General features: G+C 53.4%; 1 protein-coding gene across 5 annotated transcripts in view, besides 1 other annotated feature; it reads right to left on the bottom strand.

Annotated features, from left to right (window-relative positions):
- Positions 1–23,670, bottom strand: part of ZAN (zonadhesin) — a 64,203-nt gene that overhangs the window by 39,112 nt on the left and 1,421 nt on the right. For all 5 annotated transcript variants that reach the window (NR_111917.2, NR_111918.2, NR_111919.2 and 2 more), the window contains exons 3-17: positions 22,914–22,966; positions 22,057–22,203; positions 21,606–21,877; positions 21,337–21,424; positions 20,073–20,225; positions 11,984–12,148; positions 11,045–11,136; positions 10,471–10,549; positions 10,216–10,362; positions 7,790–8,061; positions 7,420–7,504; positions 5,457–6,974; positions 3,276–3,460; positions 343–484; positions 36–155 (exon numbers count right to left, since the gene is read on the bottom strand). Coding sequence is in view for 2 of the 5 variants with exons in the window: in NM_173059.3 (NP_775082.2) it covers positions 36–155; positions 343–484; positions 3,276–3,460; positions 5,457–6,974; positions 7,420–7,504; positions 7,790–8,061; positions 10,216–10,362; positions 10,471–10,549; positions 11,045–11,136; positions 11,984–12,148; positions 20,073–20,225; positions 21,337–21,424; positions 21,606–21,877; positions 22,057–22,203; positions 22,914–22,966 (3,518 nt within the window). In the remaining 3 variants the exon portion in view is untranslated. The remainder of the gene's footprint in view (positions 1–35; positions 156–342; positions 485–3,275; positions 3,461–5,456; positions 6,975–7,419; positions 7,505–7,789; positions 8,062–10,215; positions 10,363–10,470; positions 10,550–11,044; positions 11,137–11,983; positions 12,149–20,072; positions 20,226–21,336; positions 21,425–21,605; positions 21,878–22,056; positions 22,204–22,913; positions 22,967–23,670) is intronic.
- Positions 13,361–13,410: an enhancer, noted in NCBI's record as "active region_26384". NCBI's record gives its function as "activates an Ori minimal core promoter by ATAC-STARR-seq in GM12878 lymphoblastoid cells {active_cell/tissue: GM12878}" and the evidence as "EXISTENCE:reporter gene assay evidence [ECO:0000049][PMID:35858748]".

Below are 23,670 nucleotides of genomic sequence, written 5' to 3'. Positions count from 1 at the left end.
TCCCCCCAGGCCGCAGTGGCATCTCCAGGGCCTACCTGTTGAGTTGCCACAGGGCTGGGCCAAGATGTAAGTGCACTTGCCCATGAAGCCAAAGTGCCTCCCGTCAAAGGTGACATAATGAGGGTCTCCGTAGACCAAGCAGGTGGCAGTGCCTGCTGGGAGGGGGAAGGAGAACAGGCGAAGCTGCTTCTGTGGCTCCTCCAGGCTGGACCGCACATGCTGGCCCACCCGCTGCCCGGTGGCAGGCCCCCAATCCTCTGCTCAAGCGAGGGATTGGGATCCTGGCGTCACGTCTACTCCAACTGGCTGGCAGGCAGGGACAGCATGGGGAGGGGCTCTCACCGTAGGGGTGGCATCCATACTGGCCATTCTTAAGCTGGCACACGGTGTGTGTCCCACACTGAGAGATCTGGCACTCGACCCGACTGCCGGGCCAGCAGCGGCAATGTTCTGTGCAGTTGGGGCTGAACCACTCTGCCCCAGGCTGGGAGAAAGGGATGTGAGGTCACACAGTCATATAGCTCCTAGAGTACTTCTCCCTTTGCCTTTCTTTTTCATTTATTTATTTATTTATTTATTTATTTATTTATTTATTTATTTGTGATGGAGTCTTGCTCTGTTGCCCAAGCTGGAGTGCAGTGGCGCAATCATGGCTCACTGCAGCCTTGACCCCCTGGGCTCAAACCATCCTCCTGCCTCAACCTCCCAAGTATCTGGGACTACAGGCACATGCCACCATGCCCGACTTTTTTTTTTTTTTTTTTTTAACGTTTTGGAGAGATGGAGTCTTGCTGTGTTGCCTAGGCTGGTGTTGAATTCCTGAGCTCAAGTGACCCTCCTGCCTTGGCCTCCCAAAATGCTGGTATTACAGGCGTGAGCCACTGCACCCAGCCTTATGTCTGTCTGTTTTTTTGTTTTTTTTTTTTTTTTTGAGACGGAGTCTCACTCTGTCACCCAGGCTGGAGTGAAGTGGCGTGATCTTGGCTCACTGCAACCTCCGCCTTCAGCGTTCAAGCGATTCTCCTGCCTCAGCCTCCAGAGTAGCTGGGATTACAGGCACCCGCCACGACGCCCGGCTAATTTTTGTATTTTTAGTAGAGACTTGGTTTCTCCATGTTGGCCAGGCTGGTCTCGAACTCCTGACCTCAGGTGATCCGCCCGCCTTGGCCTCCCAAAGTGCTAGGATTACAGGCATGAGCCACTGCACCCAGCCAATATCTGTCTTTACCCAACATCTTAGCCCTCCCATGAGTGCTCTCATTCAGTAAATACTTGCTGAATGAAGGAGTAAACCAAGACCCCATGTGTCTCTCTGAATCTGAGGGCATTATGAGGGCAAGGACCACAGCCTATTCGTGGCGACCCCAGTGCCAGCAGAGTAGAAAGTACTAAGTAGGCTGGGTGTGGTGGTTCACCACTGTAATCCCAGCACTTTGGGAGGCTGAGGTGGGAGGATGGGTTGAGCCCAGGAGTTCATAGACCAGCCTGGGCAACAGAGCCAGACCCCATCTCTACCAAAAAAAAAACCCCAAAAAACAAACCAAAAAAACACACCTTTGAAGAAAGTACTAAATAAACATTTGTTGAATGCATAAATGAATCTATTAGAAGTGAATACAGCCAGGCGCGGTGGCTCACGCCTGTAATCCCAACACTTTGGAAGGCTGAGGCGGGCGGATCGCCTGAGGTCGGGAGTTCAAGACCAGCCTTACTAACATGAAGAAACCCCATCTCTACCAAAAATACAAAATTAGCTGGGCGTGGTGGCGCATGCCCGTAATCCCAGGTACTCCGGAGTCTGAGGCAGGAGAATCGCTTGAACCTGGGAAGCGGAGGTTGCAGTGAGCGGAGATGGCACCATTGCACTCCAGCGTGGGCAACAAGAGCGAAACTCTGTCTCAAAAACAAACAGACAAACAAACACGGCTAGAATGGTTTTTGCATCAATAGAGAACTGTGAGTGAATAGTTTGTCAAAAAAAAAAAAACAAAAGTGAATACATGCCTCCTAGGGCAGAGGGAAGAGCTTCTTGGTGCCAATGGTTGTGACAGATCTTTCTGCCCAGGCTGTGGCTGAAGCTAATCTCAGCAGCAACTCAGAGAGACCCAGGAGACTGGTTAAAGGAGGCAGGGGAAAGAAATAATAGTCCCAAAAGGGACAAGCAGAAGCTCTGATGTCAATGGGAAGAACACCTGCAGCTGGGAAGAGGCTCTGCACATTAATGAATAGCTTAATGCACTTTTCTTTTTTTTTTTTTGAGACAGGGTGTCACTCTGTCGCCCAGGCTGGAGTGCAGTGGCACAATCATAGCTCACTGCAGCGTCAGACTCCTGGGCTCAACCAATCCCTCCACTTCGGCCTGCTAAAGTGTTGGGATTACAGCTGTGAGTCACCACGCTGGGCCCTTTAATGCACTTTTAATTAATAGGTTGCATATATTTATCATAAATTGCTAATGATAATAATTAACACTTATTAAGTAATTGTATGTGTTAGGACTTAATTTCATCTTTACAATAATCTTATATGAGGTAGAAAATCTTACTGTGTACACTTTATAAATATGGATAAAAGATTTAAAGACGTAAAGAATATATGGTGAAACCCTATCTCTACTAAAAATACAAAAATTAGCCAGGGTGGTGGCGTGAGCCTGTTATCCCAGCTACTTGCGGGGCTGAGGCAGAGAATTGCTTGAACCCGGGAGGTGGAGGTTGTAGTGAGCTAAGATCGTGCCACTGCACTCCAGCCTGGGTGACAGAGCTAGACTCTGCCTCAAAAAAAATAAAATAAAATAAAAAAAGAAATGTGCCCAGCCAGACACGGTGACTTATGCCTATAATCCCAGCACTTTGGGAGGCTGAGGCAGGAGGATTGCTTGAACTCAGGATTTCAAGACCAGCCTGGGCAACGTGGTGAAACCCTGTCTCTACCAAAAATACAAAAATTAGCTGGGCATGGTGGCATGTGCCTGCAGTCCCAGCTACTTGGGAGGCTGAGGTGGGAGGATCACTGGAGCCCGGGAAGTGGAGGCTGCAGTGAGCCACTATGATGCCACTACTCTCCAGCCTGAGCGACAAAGCGAGACCCTGTCTCAAAAAAAAAGAAAAGATTGAATGAATAACTTCGCCATCATGTAACCATTGCTTCTGAGCTGACCCCTTGGGACTATCCGGTGATCCCTGTTGCCTTCACATGGGGAGCAGATGGAGCTGGAACCCAGGTGTTCTGCCATCAATCTCCCTCATGGGACCCCAGCATCCCGGGGGGCTTACCTCATAGTAGTCGTTGTTGTAGAAGCAATTGCAGGAAGAGGCCTGGATGCAGTGGTTGTCACTAAACAAAAAGCCAGGGTTGCAGACACAGCCCTCCCGACAGAGGGGCCCACAGCTAGGCCTGGGGCTCTTGCACGAAGCAGGACAAGCACAGGATTCGTAGCGGGCATTTGGAGGGCAGCGCTCTAAGGGGAAAACAGCCTCTGTCATGCTTTCATTCCATGGCTTTCTCAGGGAGTCTCCCTGTCTCTCCTCTACCCCCAAACTCAAGTTCTTCTCTAGGAAACAGGACCATATTATTTAGCCATAAAAAGGCCTGAAGGCTGGGTGCGGTGGCTCACACCTATAATCCCAGCACTTTGGGAGGCTGAGGCAGGAGGACTGTTTGAGGCCAAGAGTTTGAGACCAGGCTGTGCAACGTAGTGAGACCCCATCCCTACAAAACAAATTTAAAAATAAAACAATTTTAGGCTAGGCACGGTGGCTCACGCCTGTAATCCCAGCACTTTGGTAAACCGAGGCGGACAGATCACTTGAGGCCAGGAGTTCAAGAACAGCCTGGCTAACAGGGCGAAACCCTAGAGCCGGGCACAGTGGCTCACCCCTGTAATCCCAAGACTTTGGGAGGCCGAGGCTGAGGCGTAATTACAGGATTACACCCCTGTAATCCCAAGACTTTGGGAGGTCAAGACCATCCTGGCCAACATGGTGAAACCCCGTTTCTACTAAAAATACAAAAATTAGCCAGTCGTGGTGGTGCAGGCCTGTGGCCCCAGCTACTCAGGAGGCTGAGGCAGGATAGTTGCTTGAGCCCCAGAGGCAGAGGTTGCAGTGAGCCGAGATCACACCTCTGCACTCCAGCCTGGGTGACAGAGCGAGACCCTGTCTCAAAAATATAAAAAATAAGAAATACTCCATTTATTTATTTATTTATTTTTATTTTTAATTTTTTGAGACGGAGTCTCACTTTATCACCCAGGCTGGAGTGCGGTGGCATGATCTCGGCTCACTGCAAGCTCTGCCTCCCGGGTTCACGCCATTCTCCTGCCTCAGCCTCCGGAGTAGCTGGGACTACAGGCACCCACCACCACGCTCAGCTAATTTTTTTGTATTTTCAGTAGAGACGGGGTTTCACTGTGTTAGCCAGGATGGTCTCGATCTCCTGACCTTGTGATCTGCCCGCCTCAGCCTCCCAAAGTGTTGGGATTACAGGCGTGAGCCACCGTGCCTGGCCAGAAATACTTTTTTTAAAGGAATGAAGTCCTGATGCATGCTACAGTATGGATGGCCCGGAAAACATTACACTCAGTGAAAGAAGCCAAACACAAAGGCTCACATGTTGCATGATTCCATTTGTATGAACTGTCCAGAACTGGCAAATCCATGGATATAGGAAAGAAATGTGTGGTTGCCAGGGGCTGGGGGAAGGCGGAGTGGGGAGTGGCTGCTAATAGGTATAGGATTTCTTTTTGGAGTGATGAAAGTGTTTGGATTAGAAAGTGATGATGGTTGCACAACCTTAGGAATATACTAAAACCCACAGAATTGCTTTTGCTTTTTTTTTTTTTTTTTTTTTTTAGGACGATGTCTTGCTCTGTTGCCCAAGCTGAAGTGCAGTGACACAATCATGGCTCACTACAGCCTCAGCCTCCTAGGCTCAAGTGATCCTCCCACCTCAGCCTCCCGAGTAGCTGGGACTACAGGCGTGCGCCACCACACCCAGCTAATTTTTTTTTTTTTTTAATTTTAAAGTGGAGACAGGGTCTCACTATGTTGCCTAGGCTGGTCTCAAACTCCTGAGCTCAAGCAACCCTCTCGCCTTGGCCCCCCAAAGTGCTGGGATTACAGGTTTGAGCTACCGTGCCCGGCCTAGAATTGTACACTTTAAAAGGGTGAATTTTATGAAATATGGATTATATCTCAATAACAAACAACGAGAAGGAAGCCTCGTGGTTCAGTCCTGACACCCCCACCCACTCCAGCCCTGCCATCCCTCTCGCTCTGGGCAGTCCTCCCCATTTCCTCTGAAGTCGCCATGGACTACTTCAGCTCTCCTCTGAGAGTACTAGAAGCATCTAGAAGCAACTAGAAGGCTTCTACCAGAAGCATCCCTTTCCCTGACTGTCTCCTAGTCATTGTCTCTGACTTTCAGCCTTGGCCCACGCTCCATCCACCTCATACCTGTACTGGATCTGGAGGTTGTGGTAGTGCCCAGAATCACACTGGTCATAGGGGTACTTGGAGCATGTGGAGACATCACCAAGGCTGCCAGCCCAGTGGCTGTGGGGCTGGGATGGGGTGGCCTCAGGGCTGTGAGCTTCTCTGTGGGAATGGTGGGTTTTTCTGTGGGGATGGTGGGTTTTTCCGTGGGGATGGTAAGTTTTTCCGTGGGGATGGTGGGTTTTTCCGTGGAGATGGTGGGTTTTTCTGTGGGGATGGTGAGTTTTTCTGGGGAGATGGTGGGTTTTTCTGTGGGGATGGTGAGTTTTTCTGTGGAGATGGTAGTCTCTTCAGTGGGGATGGTGGGTTTTTCCGTGGGGATGGTGGGTTTTTCCGTGGAGATGGTGGGTTTTTCTGGGGAGATGGTGGGTTTTTCTGTGGGGATGGTGAGTTTTTCTGTGGAGATGGTAGTCTCTTCAATGGGGATGGTGGGTTTTTCCGTGGGGATGGTGAGTTTTTCCGTGGGGATGGTGAGTTTTTCTGGGGAGATGGTGGGTTTTTCTGTGGGGATGGTGGGTTTTTCTGTGGAGATGGTGGGTTTTTCCATGGGGATGGTGAGTTTTTCTGTAGAGATGGTAGTCTCTTCAACAGAGGTGGTGGTTTCTTCAGTGGGGAGAGTGGGTTTTTCCATGGGGATGCTGGGTTTTTCTGTGGAGATGGTGGTCTCCTCAGTGGGGGTGGTGGGCTCTTCTGTGGAGATGGTGGGTTTTTCTGTGGGAATGGTGGGTTTTTCTGTGGGGATGGTGGGTTTTTCTGTGGGGATGGTGAGTTTTTCTGGGGAGATGGTGGGTTTTTCTGTGGGGGTGGTGGGTTTTTCTGGGGAGATGGTGGGTTTTTCTGTGGGGATGGTGGGTTTTTCTGTGGGGGTGGTGGGTTTTTCTGGGGAGATGGTGGATTTTTCTGTGGGGATGGTGGGTTTTTCTGTGGGGATGGTGGGTTTTTCTGGGGAGATGGTGGGTTTTTCTGTGGAGATGATAGTCTCTTCCATGGAGATGGTGGGTTTTTCCGTGGGGATGCTGGGTTTTTCTGTAGGGATGCTGGGTTTTTCTGTAGGGATGACAGGCTCTTCCATGGAGGTGGTGGTCTCCTCAGTGGGGGTGGTGGGCTCTTCTGTGGGGACGGTGGGTTTTTCTGTGGAAATGGTGGGTTTTTCTGAGGGAATGGTGGGTTTTTCTGAGGGAATGGTGGGTTTTTCTGTGAGGATGGTGGGTTTTTCTGAGGGAATGGTGGGTTTTTCTGAGGGCATGTTGGGTTTTTCTGAAGGAATGGTGGGTTTTTCTGTGGAGATGGTGGGTTTTTCTGTGGGAATGGTGGGCTTTTCTTTGGGGACTGTGGGCTTTTCTGTGGTGACACTGGGTTTTTCTATGGAAACTGTAGGTTTCTTGGTGGAGATTGTAGGGTTTTCTGTGAGGCCAGTGGTTTCAGAAGGGCCAGTGGAAGAAACTGGAGATACGGGAGGAAGCTCTGGTAGCACTTTTACTGCAAAGAAAAATAAGAATCCCTGGAGTTTAGTCAAAACCATACCACCACCCTCTTTACTGCCATCTAACTGGAGTGGGCTCCCATGGGTGGCTTATTCACACCTCTCTTTCTACTCCCAAACCCCAACCTTCATCCACTCAACGAACACTAATATATGTCAGATATTATGCCAGAAATGAATAGGATATGGGTCCAGCCTTCAAGACTGCAGAGGAAGGAGTTCTGGATCCAGCCCCCAAAATCCATGGTATCGAAGCCACATTCACCCAGGCAAACATCTTGAAGTGCAGGGGAAGGAGAGGTGTGTTGAAGATGGAAAACAAAGCCAGCTGGGTGAGAATTCGGGCTCCAGGGAGGACTCACATTTTAAGCAGTTCATAGAGAGAACTCCAGGGAACCTCAGGGCACCGCCCCCTTCCTGGAGCCTGGGCTTTGGTCTTACCTGGACAAGTCCCAGGATTGATCAAGATGAAACCCATAGCAACCACAGAGGCCGTGTTGCTTCCCTGGATGCCCTTGAAAATAAGCTAAAGGCGACAAGGGAGAGAGACGGAGAGAGAAACAAAAATGAATCTCCAGCAACTCTGTGATTCCACTGGGCATAGAATCTGTTCTCTGCCAAAATGTCGCCTTGTTCCAGCCTCAACAGTCCAGCCCCATCCCGGCCCCTTTCTCACTTTCTGTAACACGAAGTTCCCCTTTTCTCGGCTCTCTTTCCAGCTTTCCACCTCTTCAGCACTGGTGGCGCCCCCAGATCCCAGGCATTGGCCCTCTCACCTCACACAGACAGGACCCCCGCCTCCGTCTCTCACCTGCATGGGCTGTTGGTGTCCTGAGGGGACGGTGACGGAGGTGTTCTGCCAGTAAGGGCGCTGAGACCCCACGCGTTTCCAGAGAGGAATCGGGGGACTCCCCGCAGGACTTCCCAGGAGGAGTTCGAGCATAGTACCCTCCCCAAGGCCATACATGTGGTATGCGAACTCCACGCAGATGTCACCTGGGGCGCAGAAGGGCCGGCTCACCAGTCTGACTGACTGGCCTGCCTGGGAGAACTCGTCAGCCTCAAGGTAGATATAGTGACCCCCTAGGCAAAGGAAGGGAACAGGCAAGGTAAGAAGCCTGCACAGGACATGCCAACTGCTGCTTTAGCAAAGCTTTGCTTTCTGAACGGGAATCTGAGCAAACACTCAAATTTCCCAGGTCGTAGCATTATTTTTTCTGCTCATTTTAGACATCTAACTAAAGAAGGTGGGATCACAAAGAAAGGGAAAAGCGGCCAGGCACGGTGGCTCATGCCTGTAATCCCAGCACTTTGGGAGGCCGAGGCTGGCGGATCACGAGGTCAAGAGATCAAGGCCATCCTGGCCAACATGGTGAAACCCCGTCTCCACTAAAAATACAAAAATTAGCTGGGCGTGGTGGCCCGTGCCTGGAGTCCCAGCTACTCGGGAGTCTGAGGCAGGAGAATTGCTTGAACTCCGGAGGTGGAGGTTGCAGTGAGCCAAGATCACGTCACTGCACTCCAGCCTGGCAACAGAGCAAGACTCCATCTCAAAAAAGAAAAAAAGGGAATAACAAACCAGCAACCTAGATTACATTCATTAATGTCGTGTGTGTGTGTGTGTGTGTGTGTGTGTGTGTGTGTGTGTTGTTTTTTTGAGATGGAGTCTCGCTCTGTTGCCCAGGCTGGAGTGCAGTGACACGATCTCAGCTCACTACAACCTCCACCTCCCAGGTTCAAGCGATTGTCCTGCCTCAGCCTCCCAAGTAGCTGGGATTACAGGTGTGTACCACCATGTCTGGCTAATTTTTGTGTTTTTAGTAGAGGTGGGGTTTCACCATGTTGGCCAGGCTAGTCTTGAACTTTCGGCCTCAAGTGATCCACCCGTCTCAGCCTCCCAAAGCATTGGGATTACAGGTGTGAGCCACTGCACCCCACCCTCATTATTGTCTTTTTAAAAAATTATTTCTTTATATATATATATGTGTGTGTGTGTATATATATATGTGTGTATATATATGTGTGTGTGTGTATATATATATATATATATATATATTTTTTTTTTTTTGAGACGGAGTCTCACTCTGTCACCCAGGCTGGAGTACAATGGCGTGATCTCGGCTCACTGCAAGCTCTGCCTCCCGGGCTCACGCCATTCTCCTGCCTCAGCCTCCCGAGTAGCTGGGACTACAGGCGCCCACCACCATGCCTGGCTAATTTTTTGTGTTTTTAGTAGGGACGGGGTTTCACCGTGTTAGCCAGGATGGTCTCGATCTCCTGACCTTGTGATCCGCCCTCCTTGGCCTCCCAAAGTGCTGGGATTACAGGTGTGAGCCACTGCGCCCAGCCTCTTTTTATATATTTTTAAGACAGAATCTTACTCTGTTGCCCCGGATGGAGTGCAGTGGTGCGATCTCAGCTCACTGCAGTCTCCACCTCCTGGGGTCAGGCAGTTCTCCTGCCTCAGCCTCCTGAGTAGCTGGGACTACAGGTGCACGCCACCACTCCCGGCTAATTTTTACATTTTTTTTAGTGGAGTCAGGGTTTCACTATGTTGCCCAGCTGGTCTCGAACTCCTGACCTCAAGTGATCCACCTGCCTCGGCCTCCCAAAGTGCTGGAATTAAAGGCGTGAGCCACCATGCCTGGCCTATTTTTTTATTTTTAATTTTTAGAGACAAGGTCTTGCTCTGTTGCCCAGGCTGGAGTGCACTGGTTCAATCATAGCTCACTGCAGCCTTGACTTCTGAGCTGAAGCGATCCTCCCACATCAGCCTCGCAAGTAGGTGGGACCACAAGCACACACCACCACATCTAGCTAATTAAAAAAAAATTTTTTTTTCTAGAGATGGGGTTCTCACTATGTTGCCCAGGCTGAGCTCAGACTCCTGGGCTCAAGCAATCTTCCCGTCTCGGCCTCTCAAAGTGCTGGAATTGCAGGCATGAGCCACTCATAAACGTCTAGACTGAAAATGAGGTGGTGGGTTTTGAAGCTTTGGGCTCCATGAAGTGAGATGCCTGGGTTTTCTCAGGATTTCAGTGACCCCCCAGCCCTGAGAATCTTTAAGTTACTCTGCTATCTCCACAATTCCAGTACCATGGAAACTTCCGAAAAAACACCTGTGGACTGATCTTCCCACTGCCTGAAACAACGTCTCCCATCAGTCACAGCAGCCAGCCTGCTACCTGGGAGCAGACTGAGTGATTTCTTGGCGTGAGCGCTCCTCAATCTCCTCACCTGCATTAGGGAAACCTCCCGCAGGGCCCATGCCATGGACGGGTCCATTTTTATGTCCGAGGGCCCAGTGTCCACCATCCCCGGAAGTCTGGACCCAGTCACAGAAGGGATGGGCGTTGTCTTCAAAGTCACACTGAGGAAAACCCTCTGGGGGATCAAAATAGGATATTTGAGCAAGTTGAGTGACGCTCTCCAGCCCTCCCCCAGCCCACCCCGGATTCTGAGAGATCCGGGCCTCTCAGGGCCTGCTCTCACCCCCACAAGGAGCAATGCTGGTTGCATCAACTGCCACAGCTGGCTCTGGGGTCTTTCCAAAAACGCCTACCACGGCAAACTGGAGAGAAAGGGAGATGGAGCAGGAGTGAGCACACAGCCCACACCCCCAAGCCCCTGATCTAACTCGACTCCATTCCAGGACCCAGAATCCCTACTCCCTGTGCCCAGACCCTCAATTCAGTTCTTTCTTTCTTTTTTTTTTTTTTTCAGAGTCTTGCTCTATTGCCCAGGCTGGAGTACAGTGGTGTGATCATAGCTCACTGCAGCCTTGACCTCCAGGGCTCAAGTGATCCTCCCACCTCAGGCTCCCTAGTAGCTGGGACTACAGGCACACATCACTGTGCCCGCCTAATTTTTGTATTTTTTTGTAGAGATGGGGTCTTTCTATGTTGCCCAGGCTGGTCTTGAACTCCTGTCCTGAAGCGATCCTCCCTCCTCAGCCTCCCAAAGTATTGGGAATACAGGCATGAGCCACAGCACCAGGCCCCTCAATTTATTTCAACATTGGGTGTGCCTACCATGTGCAAGGACCTGACCCCTTGCTTCTCTGTACCTGTATCCGTCCCACGGCTGTGTAATTGACAGAAACAGCCTGCCAGTTGGGCCCAGGTTGTCCTGAGAAGAGAGTGTGTTTCCGGATACTCCCTGCAGTGAAAGGAATTGGAAGGAGAAGTGAGCTTAAGGGGACTGGGAAACGACTTTGAACTATACCTAGGAGGATGAGGAGCAGAGGGCATAGCTGGGGACGATTACCACCAAATGAAAGCACAATCTTCTTTTTTATTTTATTTATTCATTATTTTTTTTTGAGATGGAGTATTGCTCTGTTGCCCAGGCTGGAGTGCAGTGGCACTATCTTGGCTCACTGCAACTTCTGTCTCCCAGGTTCAAGCGATTCTCCTGCCTCAGCCTCTTGAGTAGCTGAGATTACAGGCGTGTGCCACCACACCTGGCTAATTTTTGTATTTTTAGTAGAGACAAGGTTTCTCTATGTTGGCCAGGCTGGTCTCGAACTCCTGACCTCAGGTGATCCACCAGCCTCACCCTCCCAACGTGCTAGGATTACAAGCATAAGCCACTGTGCCAGGCCAGCACAACTTTCTTTTTTATTTGAGAGGGAGTCTTGCTCTGTCACCAGGCCGGAGTGCAGTGGCGCGATCTCGGCTCACTGCAACCTCCGCCTCCCGGGTTCAAGCGATTCTCCTGCCTCAGCCTCCCGTGTAGCTGGGACTACAGGCAGCTAATTTTTGTATTTTTAGTATGGACGGGGTTTCACCATGTTAGCCAGGATGGTCTCGATCTCCTGACCTCGTGATCCGCCTGCCTCGGCCTCCCAAAGTGCCCTCCCAGCCATGATTTCCACTTCATGGAATAGTCTCGCACATATTCCAGACCTCCCTAGACCCTGAGGGATGCCCCATGTTTCCCCATCAAGCCAACCCTGGGAGATGCGCCCAGATCAGTGTAAATCCCATTAATTCTCCGCTCTAACCCAAGACTGAAGCATAAATGTGGAGGGCTGCACCAGGAGACTGGCCCCGGAGGATGTAGTGGAAGGAAAAGCTCAGACAGCCAGAGGACAGGCTCACGGGGCTCAGGAGGACAGCTTTCTGCCCAGGTCTTGCATTCTTGGGGTCCAGGAGCATGTAGCAGCCACCTGTGAAGCAAAAGGCCAGGGAACTGGGGTGGATGGAATTGAGGGAAGATGGCAGCAGAGATAGGGCCCTGAGGAGGCTGTGGACTTGTCTCTGGGGATCCCCAACAGCAGCCTAGAATCAGGCAGCACTGAGGTGGTCCTATCCCAACTGACTGAGGTCTTCAACTTTTCCTAGAAATGCTTGGGCTGGGTAAGGACCCGGCGCTGCCATGGGAAGCGGCGGACACCTTCTCCAAAGCAGCAACTAGAACTTTGACCTTTGGGTGCTAACTCTTTGTTGTTGTTGTTTTGTTTTTGTTTTTGAGACAGTCTCACTCTGTCGCCCAGTCTGGAGTGCAGTGGCGCAATCATGGCTCTCATGGTTCACTGCAGACTCAACCTCCCCGGGCTCAGGTGATCCTCCCGCCTCAGCCTCCTTAAGTAGCTGGGACTACAGGTGTGCGCCACCACGCCCTGCTAATTTTTGCATTTTTTTTTGAAAAGATAGGGTTTCACCACATTGCCCAGGCTGGTCTTGAACTCCTAGGTTCAAATGATCCACGCACCTTGGCTTCCCAAAGTGCTGGGATTACAGACATGAGCCATCACATCTGGCCTGGGTGCTAACTCTTAAGGTCCACTAGAGTCATAGCCTGTTCCTTTTCTTTTTTCCTTTTTCTTTTTTGAGACAAGGTATGGTTCTGTTGCCCAGGCTAAAGTGCAGTGGCACAGGTCTCAAACTCCTAGGCTCAAGCAATCCTTTTGCCACAGCCTCCTGAGTAGCTGGGACTCCAGGTGCGGACCTGGAGTCCGCCCAGCTAATTTTTTTTTTTTTAAGAGATGGGCGGTCTCACGATGTTGCCCAGGCTGGTCTTGAACTCCTGGCCTCAAGCAATCCTCCCGCCTTGGCCTCCCAAAGTGCTGGGATTACAGGCTTGAGCCACTACACCCGATTGCCTCTTCCTTTTCTTTACCCGCTGGACATAACCTATTCACGCAAACTGGCGAGAGATACAGCGGCTCTGACACAGAGGAGCAAGAGGCAAACCCCCTCTCACCCAACACCACCTCGGCCCCCAGCTCAGACAGCCAATCAGCGTGGACCTCGCTAGGTGACGCAACTGGTAGCGAAAAAGAAAATGTAAGCGGCTGCCACTCGTGGGGAGCGCGCTCGCGTGCGTGCTCACGCCCGAGTCCAAGGGAGTCTTGCCTGGCGCGCGCTCACTCCTGCCGAAGGTGGGATCCTGAGCGGCGGCGAAGAGGCTGGAATGGCGGGAATGGGCGGGAGGAAGGAGAAGAAAGGAAACAACCGGGAAGGAAGAGGGAAGGGAAAGGAAAGGAAGTGGGAAAATGATGAAAGAGAAATCAAGGACACGGGCTGGCGCGGTGGCTCACGCCTGTAATCCCAGCACTTTGGGAGACCGAGGCGGGCGGATCACCTGAGGTCAGGGGTTCTAGACCAGCTTGGCCAACATGGCGAAATCCCGTCTCTACTAAAAGTACAAAAATTAGCCGGGCGTGGTGGCGGGCATCTGTAATCCCAGCTACTCGGGAGGCTGAGGCAGGAGAATCGCTTAAACCCGGGAGGCGGAGGTTGCAGTGAGCTGAGATCGCGTCACCGCACTCCAGCCTGGGCGACAGAGCGAGACTGTCTCAAAAAACAAACAAACAACAACAACAAAAAAAAAACCAAGGAGACCTATGAGAAACAGAAGAGGAGAAATGGGAGAAAAAGAAGTGAAAGGTGAAGAAAATATAAGGAAGCGAGCAAGATGGAAAAGGAAAGGGAAAGAAAGGAAAAATAAAAAGCCAACCAGCATTTACTGAAGCTGCTGGGCGCGGTACACGGTGCTAAATGCTGAGGGGTTGCAGAGAGGGCTGGTCGGCTTTCAGTGAAGGTGGGGCCAGGGCTTCTTAAGGCCTTATTTATTTATGTACGTATTTATTTATTTATTTTTATTGAGATGGAGTCTCACTCTGTTGCCCAGGCTGGAGTGCAGTGGCGCTATCTCGGCTCACTGCAACCTCCGCCTCCCAGGTTCAAACAATTCTCCTGCCTCAGCCTCCCGAGTGTTGGGATTACAGGTGCACACCACCAAGCCCAGCTAATTTTTTGTATTTTTAGTAGAGACGGGTTTCGCTATGTTGGCCAGGCTGGTCTCGGACTCCTGACCTCTGGTGATCCACCTGCCTCCGCCTCCCAAAGTGCTGGGATTACAGGCATGAGCCACCACGCCTGGCCAGGGCCCTTCTAGAAAACAAAGTTTAGGCAGCAGGAAAGATCAGAGACAGGAGTGCAGGAGTCCAAGTGGACACTGATGGAGTGGAGAGAGGAAAAGATGGGGAAAAACAGAAAAGAAAATACGGCAGAGGCAGGAGGATCACTTGAGGCCAGGAGTCCGAGACCAGCCTGGGCAACATAGCAAGACCCCATCTTTACAAATAAAGAAAATAAAATAAAGTGTGGAAATGGTAAAGTGGAAGGGAGGAAATGGATTGAGAAAGGATAAGTATTAAGGGAAAAGAAGAACAAAGAGATATAGGCTGGGCGTGGCAGCTCACACCTGTACTTCAAGCACTTTGGGAGGCCGAAGCAGGAAGATGGCTTGAGGCCCAGAGTTTGAGACCAGCCTGGGCAATGTAGCAAGACCCCATCTCTATTTTTATTTATTTATTTATTTTGAGACACAATCTCACTCTGTCGCCCAGGCTGGAGTGCAGTAGTGCGATCACAGCTCACTGCCACCTCCACCTCCCAGGCTCAATCAGTCCTCCCACGTCAGCCTCCCGAGTATCTGGGACTACAGGTGTGTGCCACCACACTGGGCTAATTTTTGTATTTTTTGTAGAGACAAGATCTCACTATATGTTCCAGGCTGGTCTTGAACTCGTGGCCTCAAGTGATCTGCCCACCTCGGCCTCCCAAAGTGCTGGGATTACAGGCATGAGCTACTGCACCTGGCCTAGTTTTTAAAAACATTTTTTTAAATTCAAAAATAAGAATTATAAACTCAGGAAATTAGGGAGCAGAACCCTCTATGCTTGACCTACAGTGCTTGGCTCAGTGAGGGGTTGAAATGTGGGCTGTGTGAGAAGATTAAGAGAGAAAGTGAATGTTGTGTGAGAGAGAAAAGGAAGAAGTCAACAGTAGAAAGAGAAAGAAGCTCAGCTGAGTGCACAGGGAGGTGGTGGAAAGAAGCTAGGGATAGACTTGGGTGCATAGAAAGAAAGAATATCAGCCAGGCATGGTGGCTTACGCTTGTAATCCCAGCATTTTGGGAGGCCAAGTGGGTGGATCACGAGGTCAGAAGATCGAGACCACCCTGACCAACATGGTGAAACCCCATCTCTACTAAAAATACAAAAAATTAACTGGGCATGGTGACGCACACCTGTAATCCCAGCTACTCGGGAGGCTGAGGCAGGAGAATCGCTTGAACCCGGAAGGCAGAGGTTGCAGTGAGCTGAGATCGTGCCATTGCACTCCAGCCTGGCAACAGCAAGATTCTGTCTCAAAAAAAAAAAAAGAAAGAAAAAGAAAGAGTGTCGCCTGGATTTTTGCAAAAGCCTCCTAAACAGCCTCTCTGCATCGACCCTTGCCTGTTCTCCTCAGTGGATTCTCAACACAAAAAAAATCCTTAAAAAATAAGTCAGATCGTCCCCGTCCCCCTCCCCCTCCCTCTCCCTCGTCTCCGTCTCCGTCTCCCTCTCCCCACGGTCTCCCTCTCATGCGGAGCCGAAGCTGGACTGTACTGCTGCCATCTCGGCTCACTGCAACCTCCCTGCCTGATTCTCCTGCCTCAGCCTGCCGAGTGCCTGCGATTGCAGGCACGCGCCGCCACGCCTGACTGGTTTTGGTGGAGACGGGGTTTCGCTGTGTTGGCCGGGCGGGTCTCCAGCCCCTAACCGCGAGTGATCCGCCAACCTCGGCCTCCCGAGGTGCCGGGATTGCAGACGGAGTCTCGTTCACTCAGTGCTCAATGGTGCCCAGGCTGGAGTGCAGTGGCGTGATCTCGGCTCACTACAACCTCCACCTCCCAGCCGCCTGCCTTGGCCTCCCAAAGTGCCGAGATTGCAGCCTCTGCCCGGCCGCCACCCCGTCTGGGAAGTGAGGAGTGTCTCTGCCTGGCCGCCCATCGTCTGGGATGTGAGGAGCCCCTCTGCCCGGCCGCCCAGTCTGGGAAGTGAGGAGCGTCTCCGCCCGGCCGCCATCCCATCTAGGAAGTGAGGAGCGCCTCTTCCCAGCCGCCATCACATCTAGGAAGTGAGGAGCGTCTCTGCCCGGCCGCCCATCGTCTGAGATGTGGGGAGCACCTCTGCCCCACCGCCCCATCTGGGATGTGAGGAGCGCTTCTGCCCGGCCGAGACCCCGTCTGGGAGGTGAGGAGCGTCTCTGCCCGGCCGCCCCGTCTGAGAAGTGAGGAGACCCTCTGCCTGGCAACCACCCCGTCTGAGAAGTGAGGAGCCCCTCCGCCCGGCAGCTGCCCCGTCTGAGAAGTGAGGAGCCTCTCCGCCCAGCAGCCACCCCATCTGGGAAGTGAGGAGCATCTCCGCCCGGCAGCCACCCCGTCCGGGAGGGAGGTGAGGGGGGGTCAGCCCCCCGCCCGGCCAGCCGCCCCATCCGGGAGGGAGGTGGGGGGTCAGCCCCCCGCCCGGCCAGCCGTGCCATCCGGGAGGGAGGTGGGGGGGTCAGCCCCCCGCCCGGCCAGCCGCCCGGTCCGGGAGGTGAGGGGCGCCTCTGCCCGGCCGCCCCTACTGGGAAGTGAGGAGCCCCTCTGCCCGGCCAGCCGCCCCGTCCGGGAGGGAGGTGGGGGGGTCAGCCCTCCGCCCGGCCAGCCGCCCCGTCTGGGAGGTGAGGGGCGCCTCTGCCCGGCCGCCCCTACTGGGAAGAGAGGAGCCCCTCTGCCCGGCCAGCCGCCCCGTCCGGGAGGGAGGTGGGGGGGTCGGCCCCCCGCCCGGCCAGCCGCCCCGTCCGGGAGGGAGGTGGGGGTGTCGGCCCCCCGCCCGGCCAGCCGCCCCGTCCGGGAGGGAGGTGGGGGGGGTCAGCCCCCCTGCCCGGCCAGCCGCCCCATCCGGGAGGTGAGGGGCGCCTCTGCCCGGCCACCCCTACTGGGAAGTGAGGAGCCCCTCTGCCCGGCCAGCCGCCCCGTCCGCGAGGGAGGTGGGGGGGTCAGCCCCCCGCCCGGCCAGCCGCCCCGTCCGGGAGGGAGGTGGGGGGGGTCAGCCCCCCTGCCCGGCCAGCCGCCCCGTCCGGGAGGGAGGTGGGGGGGGTCAGCCCCCCTGCCCGGCCAGCCGCCCCGTCCGGGAGGTGAGGGGCGCCTCTGCCCGGCCGCCCCTACTGGGAAGTGAGGAGCCCCTCTGCCCGGCCAGCTGCCCCGTCCGCGAGGGAGGTGGGGGGGTCAGCCCCCCGCCCGGCCAGCCGCCCCGTCCGGGAGGGAGGTGGGGGGGTCAGCCCCCCTGCCCGGCCAGCCGCCCCGTCCGGGAGGTGAGGGGCGCCTCTGCCCGGCCGCCCCTACTGGGAAGTGAGGAGCCCCTCTGCCTGGCCAGCCGCCCCGTCCGGGAGGGAGGTGGGGGGTCAGCCCCCCGACCGGCCAGCCGCCCCATCCGGGAGGGAGGTGGGGGGGGTCAGCCCCCCGCCCGGCCAGCCGCCCCGCCCAGGAGGTGAGGGGCGCCTCTGCCCGGCCGCCCCTACTGGGAAGTGAGGAGCCCCTCTGCCCGGCCACCACCCCGTCTGGGAGGTGTGCCCAACAGCTCATTGAGAACGGGCCAGGATGACAATGGCGGCTTTGTGGAATAGAAAGGCGGGAAAGGTGGGGAAAAGATTGAGAAATCGGATGGTTGCCGTGTCTGTGTAGAAAGAAGTAGACATGGGAGACTTTTCATTTTGTTCTGCACTAAGAAAAATTCCTCTGCCTTGGGATCCTGTTGATCTGTGACCTTACCCCCAACCCTGTGCTCTCTGAAACATGTGCTGTGTCCACTCAGGGTTAAATGGATTAAGGGCGGTGCAAGATGTGCTTTGTTAAACAGATGCTTGAAGGCAGCATGCTCGTTAAGAGTCATCACCAATCCCTAATCTCAAGTAATCAGGGACACAAACACTGCGGAAGGCCGCAGGGTCCTCTGCCTAGGAAAACCAGAGACCTTTGTTCACTTGTTTATCTGCTGACCTTCCCTCCACTATTGTCCCATGACCCTGCCAAATCCCCCTCTGTGAGAAACACCCAAGAATTATCAATAAAAAAATAAATTAAAAAAAAAAAAATAAATAAGTCAGATCAAGTCACTGCTCAAAATCCTGCAAAGGCTCCCCATTCACACAGAATAGGAAAGCCACAGTCCTGACAATGGCCTTCAAGGCTCTATGTGATCTGCCGCTCCTGTGGATCTCAGGTCACCCTCTTCATGCTGGCCACATGGCTCTTTGCTGTGCCTTGATCCCCTCCTTCCCCGACAGCCCCACTGCTACCTCAGGACCTTTGCACAGCTGGCCCCTCAGCCTGGAATGTCCTCTGCTACTACCTCACCTTTTTCAAGTTCGTGCTCAAATGTGTCCTGAATGTGACCTACTCTGACCAGCCTATTTAAAATCGGTAACTCGCCCAGGCACAGTGGCTCAACGCCTATAATCCCAGCACTTTGGGAGGCCGAGGTGGCCGGATCACCTGAGGTCAGCAGTTCAAGACCAGCCTGGCCAACGTGGTGAAACCCCGTCTCTACTAAAAACACAAAAATTAGCTGGGCGTGGTGGTGTACACCTGTAGTCCCAGTTACTTAGGAGGCTGAGGTAGGAGAATCAATTGAACCTGGGCAGCGGAGCTTGCAGTGAGCCGAGATAGAGCCACTGCACTCCAGCCTGGGAGACAGGGCGAGACTCTGTCTCCAAAATAAATAAATAAATAATTGATAACTCACGGCGGGGCACAGTGGCTCACGCCTGTAATCCCAGCACTTTGGGAGGCCAAAGTGGGCAGATCACTTGAGGTGATCCTCCCGTCTCAGCTTCCCAAAGCGCTGGGATTACAGGCGTGAGCCAGTGCACTTGGCTCCAAACTTGTTTGACTTTTTATTTTCCCAGTAGCATCGCTCACTTTATAACTATATTTACTTTGTGTCGGTAACTGCCCCCCCGCTACCACACCCTACTCTTCCTTGTCTGTTTTCTGCACTGGTGTATTTTAAGTGCCTAGGACAGCACCTGGCATATTGTAGGTGCTCAGTATTTCTTGAATGAATGAAGAATGAAAGGGGCCAGAAGCAATGGCTCACGCTGTAATCCCAGCATTTGGGAGGCTGAGGCAGGTGGACCACTTGAGGTCCGGAGTTCGAGACCAGCCTGGCCAACATGGTGAAACCCTGTCTGTACCAAAAATACAAAAATTAGCCGGGCATGGTGGTGCACGCCTGCAGTCTCAGCTACTTGGGAGGTTGAGGCAGGAGAATTGCTTAAACCCAGGAGGCAGAGGTTGCAGTGAGCAGAGATCACGCCACTGCACTCCAGACTGGGTGACAGAACGAGACTCTGCTTCAAAAAAAAAAAAAGAAAAAGAAGAAGGAGAAGGAGAAGGAGAGGGAGAGGGAGAGGGAGAGGGAGAGGGAGAGGGAGAGGGAGAGGGAGAGGGAGAGGGAGAGGGAGAGGGAGAGGGAGAGGGAGAGGGAGAGGGAGAGGGAGAGGGAGAGGGAGAAGAAGAAGAGGAAGAGAAAGAAGAAGAAGAAGAGCCACAGAAAGGAGATGAGGAGCTGGCTGTATTGGGTCTGCCAGGTAGAGCTTGTAGGGCGGTGGTGGGGGAGGCTGGCTGGGTGCTTGAAATCAGCTTCTTGCGTGAAACTTGAGCTGGTAAGAGGCTTGAAGCTGTAGGTGTTCATGACAGACCGTCCCAGGGCAATTATCGTAGGGTGCTTGGTGCCCAGAAAGTCAAGGGACAGAAGCATGGCCGCTACTCACTACCAGGGCTAGAGAAGTCGCCATCAGGCCCCACGCCTGGCTTTCCTGATGACCCTTTCTTCTGAGTCCACTTGGCCCCGGAGGCAGTTGGGATCCAGGTCCAGTCACAGAGGTCATTTGGAATGTCAAAGCTGCATGTTTGCATCATACAGACTGAGAGGAAAGAAAGAAGGGAAGATATAATGTTTTCTTCTTTTTTAGAGACAGGGTCTCTGTCACCCAGGCTAGAGTACAGTGGTGTGATCATAGCTCACTGCGGCCTCGAACTCCTGGACTCAAGCGGTCCTCCCACCTCAACCTCTCAAGTAGCTAGGACTACAGGTGTGCGCCACCATGCCGAGCTAATTTTTAAAAAGTTCTTGGCACGGTGACTTAACTCCTGTAATCCCAGCATTTTGGGAGGCTGAGGTGAGTGGATCACCTGAGGTCAGGAGTTCTAGAACAGCCTTGCCAACACAATGAAACCCCGGCTCTACTAAACATACAAAAATTAGCCAGGCATGGTGGTGGGCACCTGTAATCCCAGCTACTTGGGAGACTGAGGCAGGAGAATCATTTGAACCCAAGAGGCAGAAGTTGCAGTGAGCCGAGATCGTGCCACTACACTCCAGCCTGGGTGACAAGAGTGAAATTCCGTCTCAAATAAATAAATAAATAAATAAATAAATTCTTTTGTAGAGATGGGGGTCTCCTTATGTTGCCCAGGCTGATCTCAAACTCCTGGCCTCACACCATCCTCCCACCTTGGCCTCCCAAGGTGCTGGGATTACAGGCCTGAGCCACTGTGCTGGGCCGAGACCTCTCTTTAGGCACGGCTGCTTCCAGAGTCAAAGCCCTAATAGCTCTACCTGGCAGACCCAATACAGCCAGCTCCTCATCTCCTTTCTCATTCTTCTTTTTTTTTTTTTGAGACGGAGTCTCACTCCATCGCCAAGGCTGGAGTGCAGTGGCACGATCTCGGCTCACTGCAAGCTCCACCTCCCAGGTTCATGCCATTCTCCTGCCTCAGCCTCCCAAGTAGCTGGGACTACAGGCGCCCGCCACCGCGCCCGGCTAATTTTTTGTATTTTTAGTAGAGACGGGGCTTCACCGTGTTAACCAGAAAGGTCTCTATCTCTTGACCTCGTGATCCGCCCGCCTCGGCCTCCCAAAGTGCTGGGATTACAGGCATGAGCCACCGCGCCCGCCCTGGATCCTCTTCTTGTTGTGCAAGGACGGAGAGAAAAGGGTCCGAGGGCAGGCGGGAGGAGGGACAGGGACTCACCGCGATTACAGGAGCCCCGGCGGATAGAGAGGGCATCCAGGGCGATGTCCAGGTAGGCAGTGCTACCCCGTGTTCCCTCAAACATCAGCTGCAAGAGGATAAGGGGACCCCAACCCCATGAGCCCCTCAGCCAGGCCTCCTGGCTCCTAGTTTTCTTCCTGAATTCAGATGGCTTGGCCCCCACAATCCCTTTTTGCCACACCCCCACCCTCAGGCTCTCCAACACCCAGACTCCCCCCCGAGGTCCCACAATTTGTCCCCGGCCTTACCCGGGTGGGCAGGGTGAACCCTGCGGGCACAGTGACGGTGGTGAGCATCCAGGAGGGTCTCTGGGTGTTCCAGTGTTTCCAGAGCACATCGGGGCGGCGGCCCTCTTCACCCGAGAGCAGCAGCAGCCTGAGCTGGGCGCCCCAAGACAGCCCGAACATGTGGTGGGCAAAGTGCACACAGAGGGGGCCTTGCTCCCATAGGTCGGGGCTGAGCAGGCGGGCCACTCCCCCACGGTGGAAGCTGTTCGATTCCATATGCAGATAGCTGCCCTCTGGGGGAGGCAGAGCCCAAGACACTGAGGCCCAGCCACCTCTGAGGGCTGCCCCCACCCATCCCCTTCTCAGAGCCCAGGCATCCAGGTCTGGCTGCCTCCCTTCTCTCTCCATCTAGCCACTCCCGCCTCCCAGCCACCTCCCTGCTCATGGTCCCCTGGAAACCATAGCCCCTCACCTCCGTTAGGGTACCCCCCGGGGGCCCCGGTGGAGCCGGTGGGAGAGGGCCCACTGGCTCGAACCCAGTCTTCATCGTCTGCGGACACTTGGGACCAGTCACAGAGGGGTTTGGCGTCATCCTCAAAATCACACTGGGTGAGGACATCTAGGAAGAATGGGTCACAGTGAGGTTTCAGAGAGGGCAGGGGCAGGGCCCAGAGCCACACAGGGAGAGGGAAGTAGCAAGATTGCTACACTTAGAGAAAGCTGCCATGAAATCAGCCGGGTGTGGTGGCGCACACCTGTAGTCCCAGCTACTGGGGAGGCTGAGGCAAGAGAATCGCTTGAACCCAGGAGGCGGACTTTGCAGTGAGCCAAGATCGCGCCACTGCACTCCAGCCTGAGGGACAGAGGGAGACTCCGTCTCAAAGAAAAGAAAAAGAAAGCTGTTGCAAAGCCTTGGGGTCCAGAGCAGAAATTGCTCGTCTGTTTTTTGTGGAGATGGAGTCTTACTATGTTGCCCAGGCTGCTCTCAAACTCCTGGCCTCAAGCCATCCTCCCACCTTGGCCTCCCTAAGTGTTGGGATGACAGGTGTGAGCCACAGCACCCGGCCCAGAGCAGAGATTTGAAAGAGAGAATCTTTTAGGAGAAATTCGGGGCTGGGAGAGTGGACAGAATGACAAGGTCCGGGGTCATGAACTGAGGTTGGAGGGCTGGACTTGGCCTGGCAGGACACATTTTGTAGTCCTGGCTGATGCCCGGAGGGGACTGGAGGTGGCTGCTCCTGCTAGGAACTCAGGAACTGGCATTCTGGTGGCAGAATGTGGGTTCGGAGGAGGGAGGAGAAATCTTAGCACTCCTGGTTTCCAACTCACAGTTGTCCCTAGAGCTGCGAACAACCAGCTTCTGGTCCGGAGGCTTCTCTTTCCTTGGGGGTCGTTTGAAGAAAGCAAAAATGCAACTCGTGTCATTATCAAGAATTATAAGATTCAGTGACTGTGAGCTTTCTGAGTGGTCACGTAAGGATGATCAGTGTTTATGCAGTGAATGTGTCTGACTTGACTTTTTTTCTTTTTTTCTTTTCTTTTTTTTTTTTTCCGGCACCCAGGCTAGAGTGCAGTGATACAATCACAGCTCACTGCAGCCTCAAACCTCTGGGCTCCAGCAATCCTCCCACCTCAACCTCCCCAGTAGCTGGGACTACAGGAGCATGCCACCACGCCCAGCTAATTTATTTTTATTTTTTATAGAGATGGGGTCTTTCTATGTTGCACAGGCTGGTCATGACCTCCTGGCCTTATGCAATCCTCCCACTTTGGCCTCCCAAAGTGCTGGGATTACCGGTGGGAGCCACTGTGCTCAGCCCTCTGTTTTTTGTTGTTGTTGAAGTTCTACTTGTTCAAATTCTCCCAAACACACTGCAGGACACCAAGACATCCATCATTTCTTTTTTTTTTTCTTTTGAGATGGAGTTTTGCTCTTGTTGCCCAGGCTGGAGTGCAATGGTGCAATTTCCGCTCACTGCAGTCTCCGCCTCCCGGGTTCAAGTGACTCTCCTGCCTCAGCCTCCCAAGTAGCTGGGATTACAGGCATGCACCACCATGCCTGGCTAATTTTATATTTTTAGTAGAG

This window comes from Homo sapiens, chromosome 7, assembly GCF_000001405.40.
Source record: "Homo sapiens chromosome 7, GRCh38.p14 Primary Assembly".
NCBI classification, from domain to species: Eukaryota; Metazoa; Chordata; class Mammalia; order Primates; family Hominidae; genus Homo; species Homo sapiens.
This window is presented reverse-complemented; position numbering and strand designations above follow the sequence as displayed.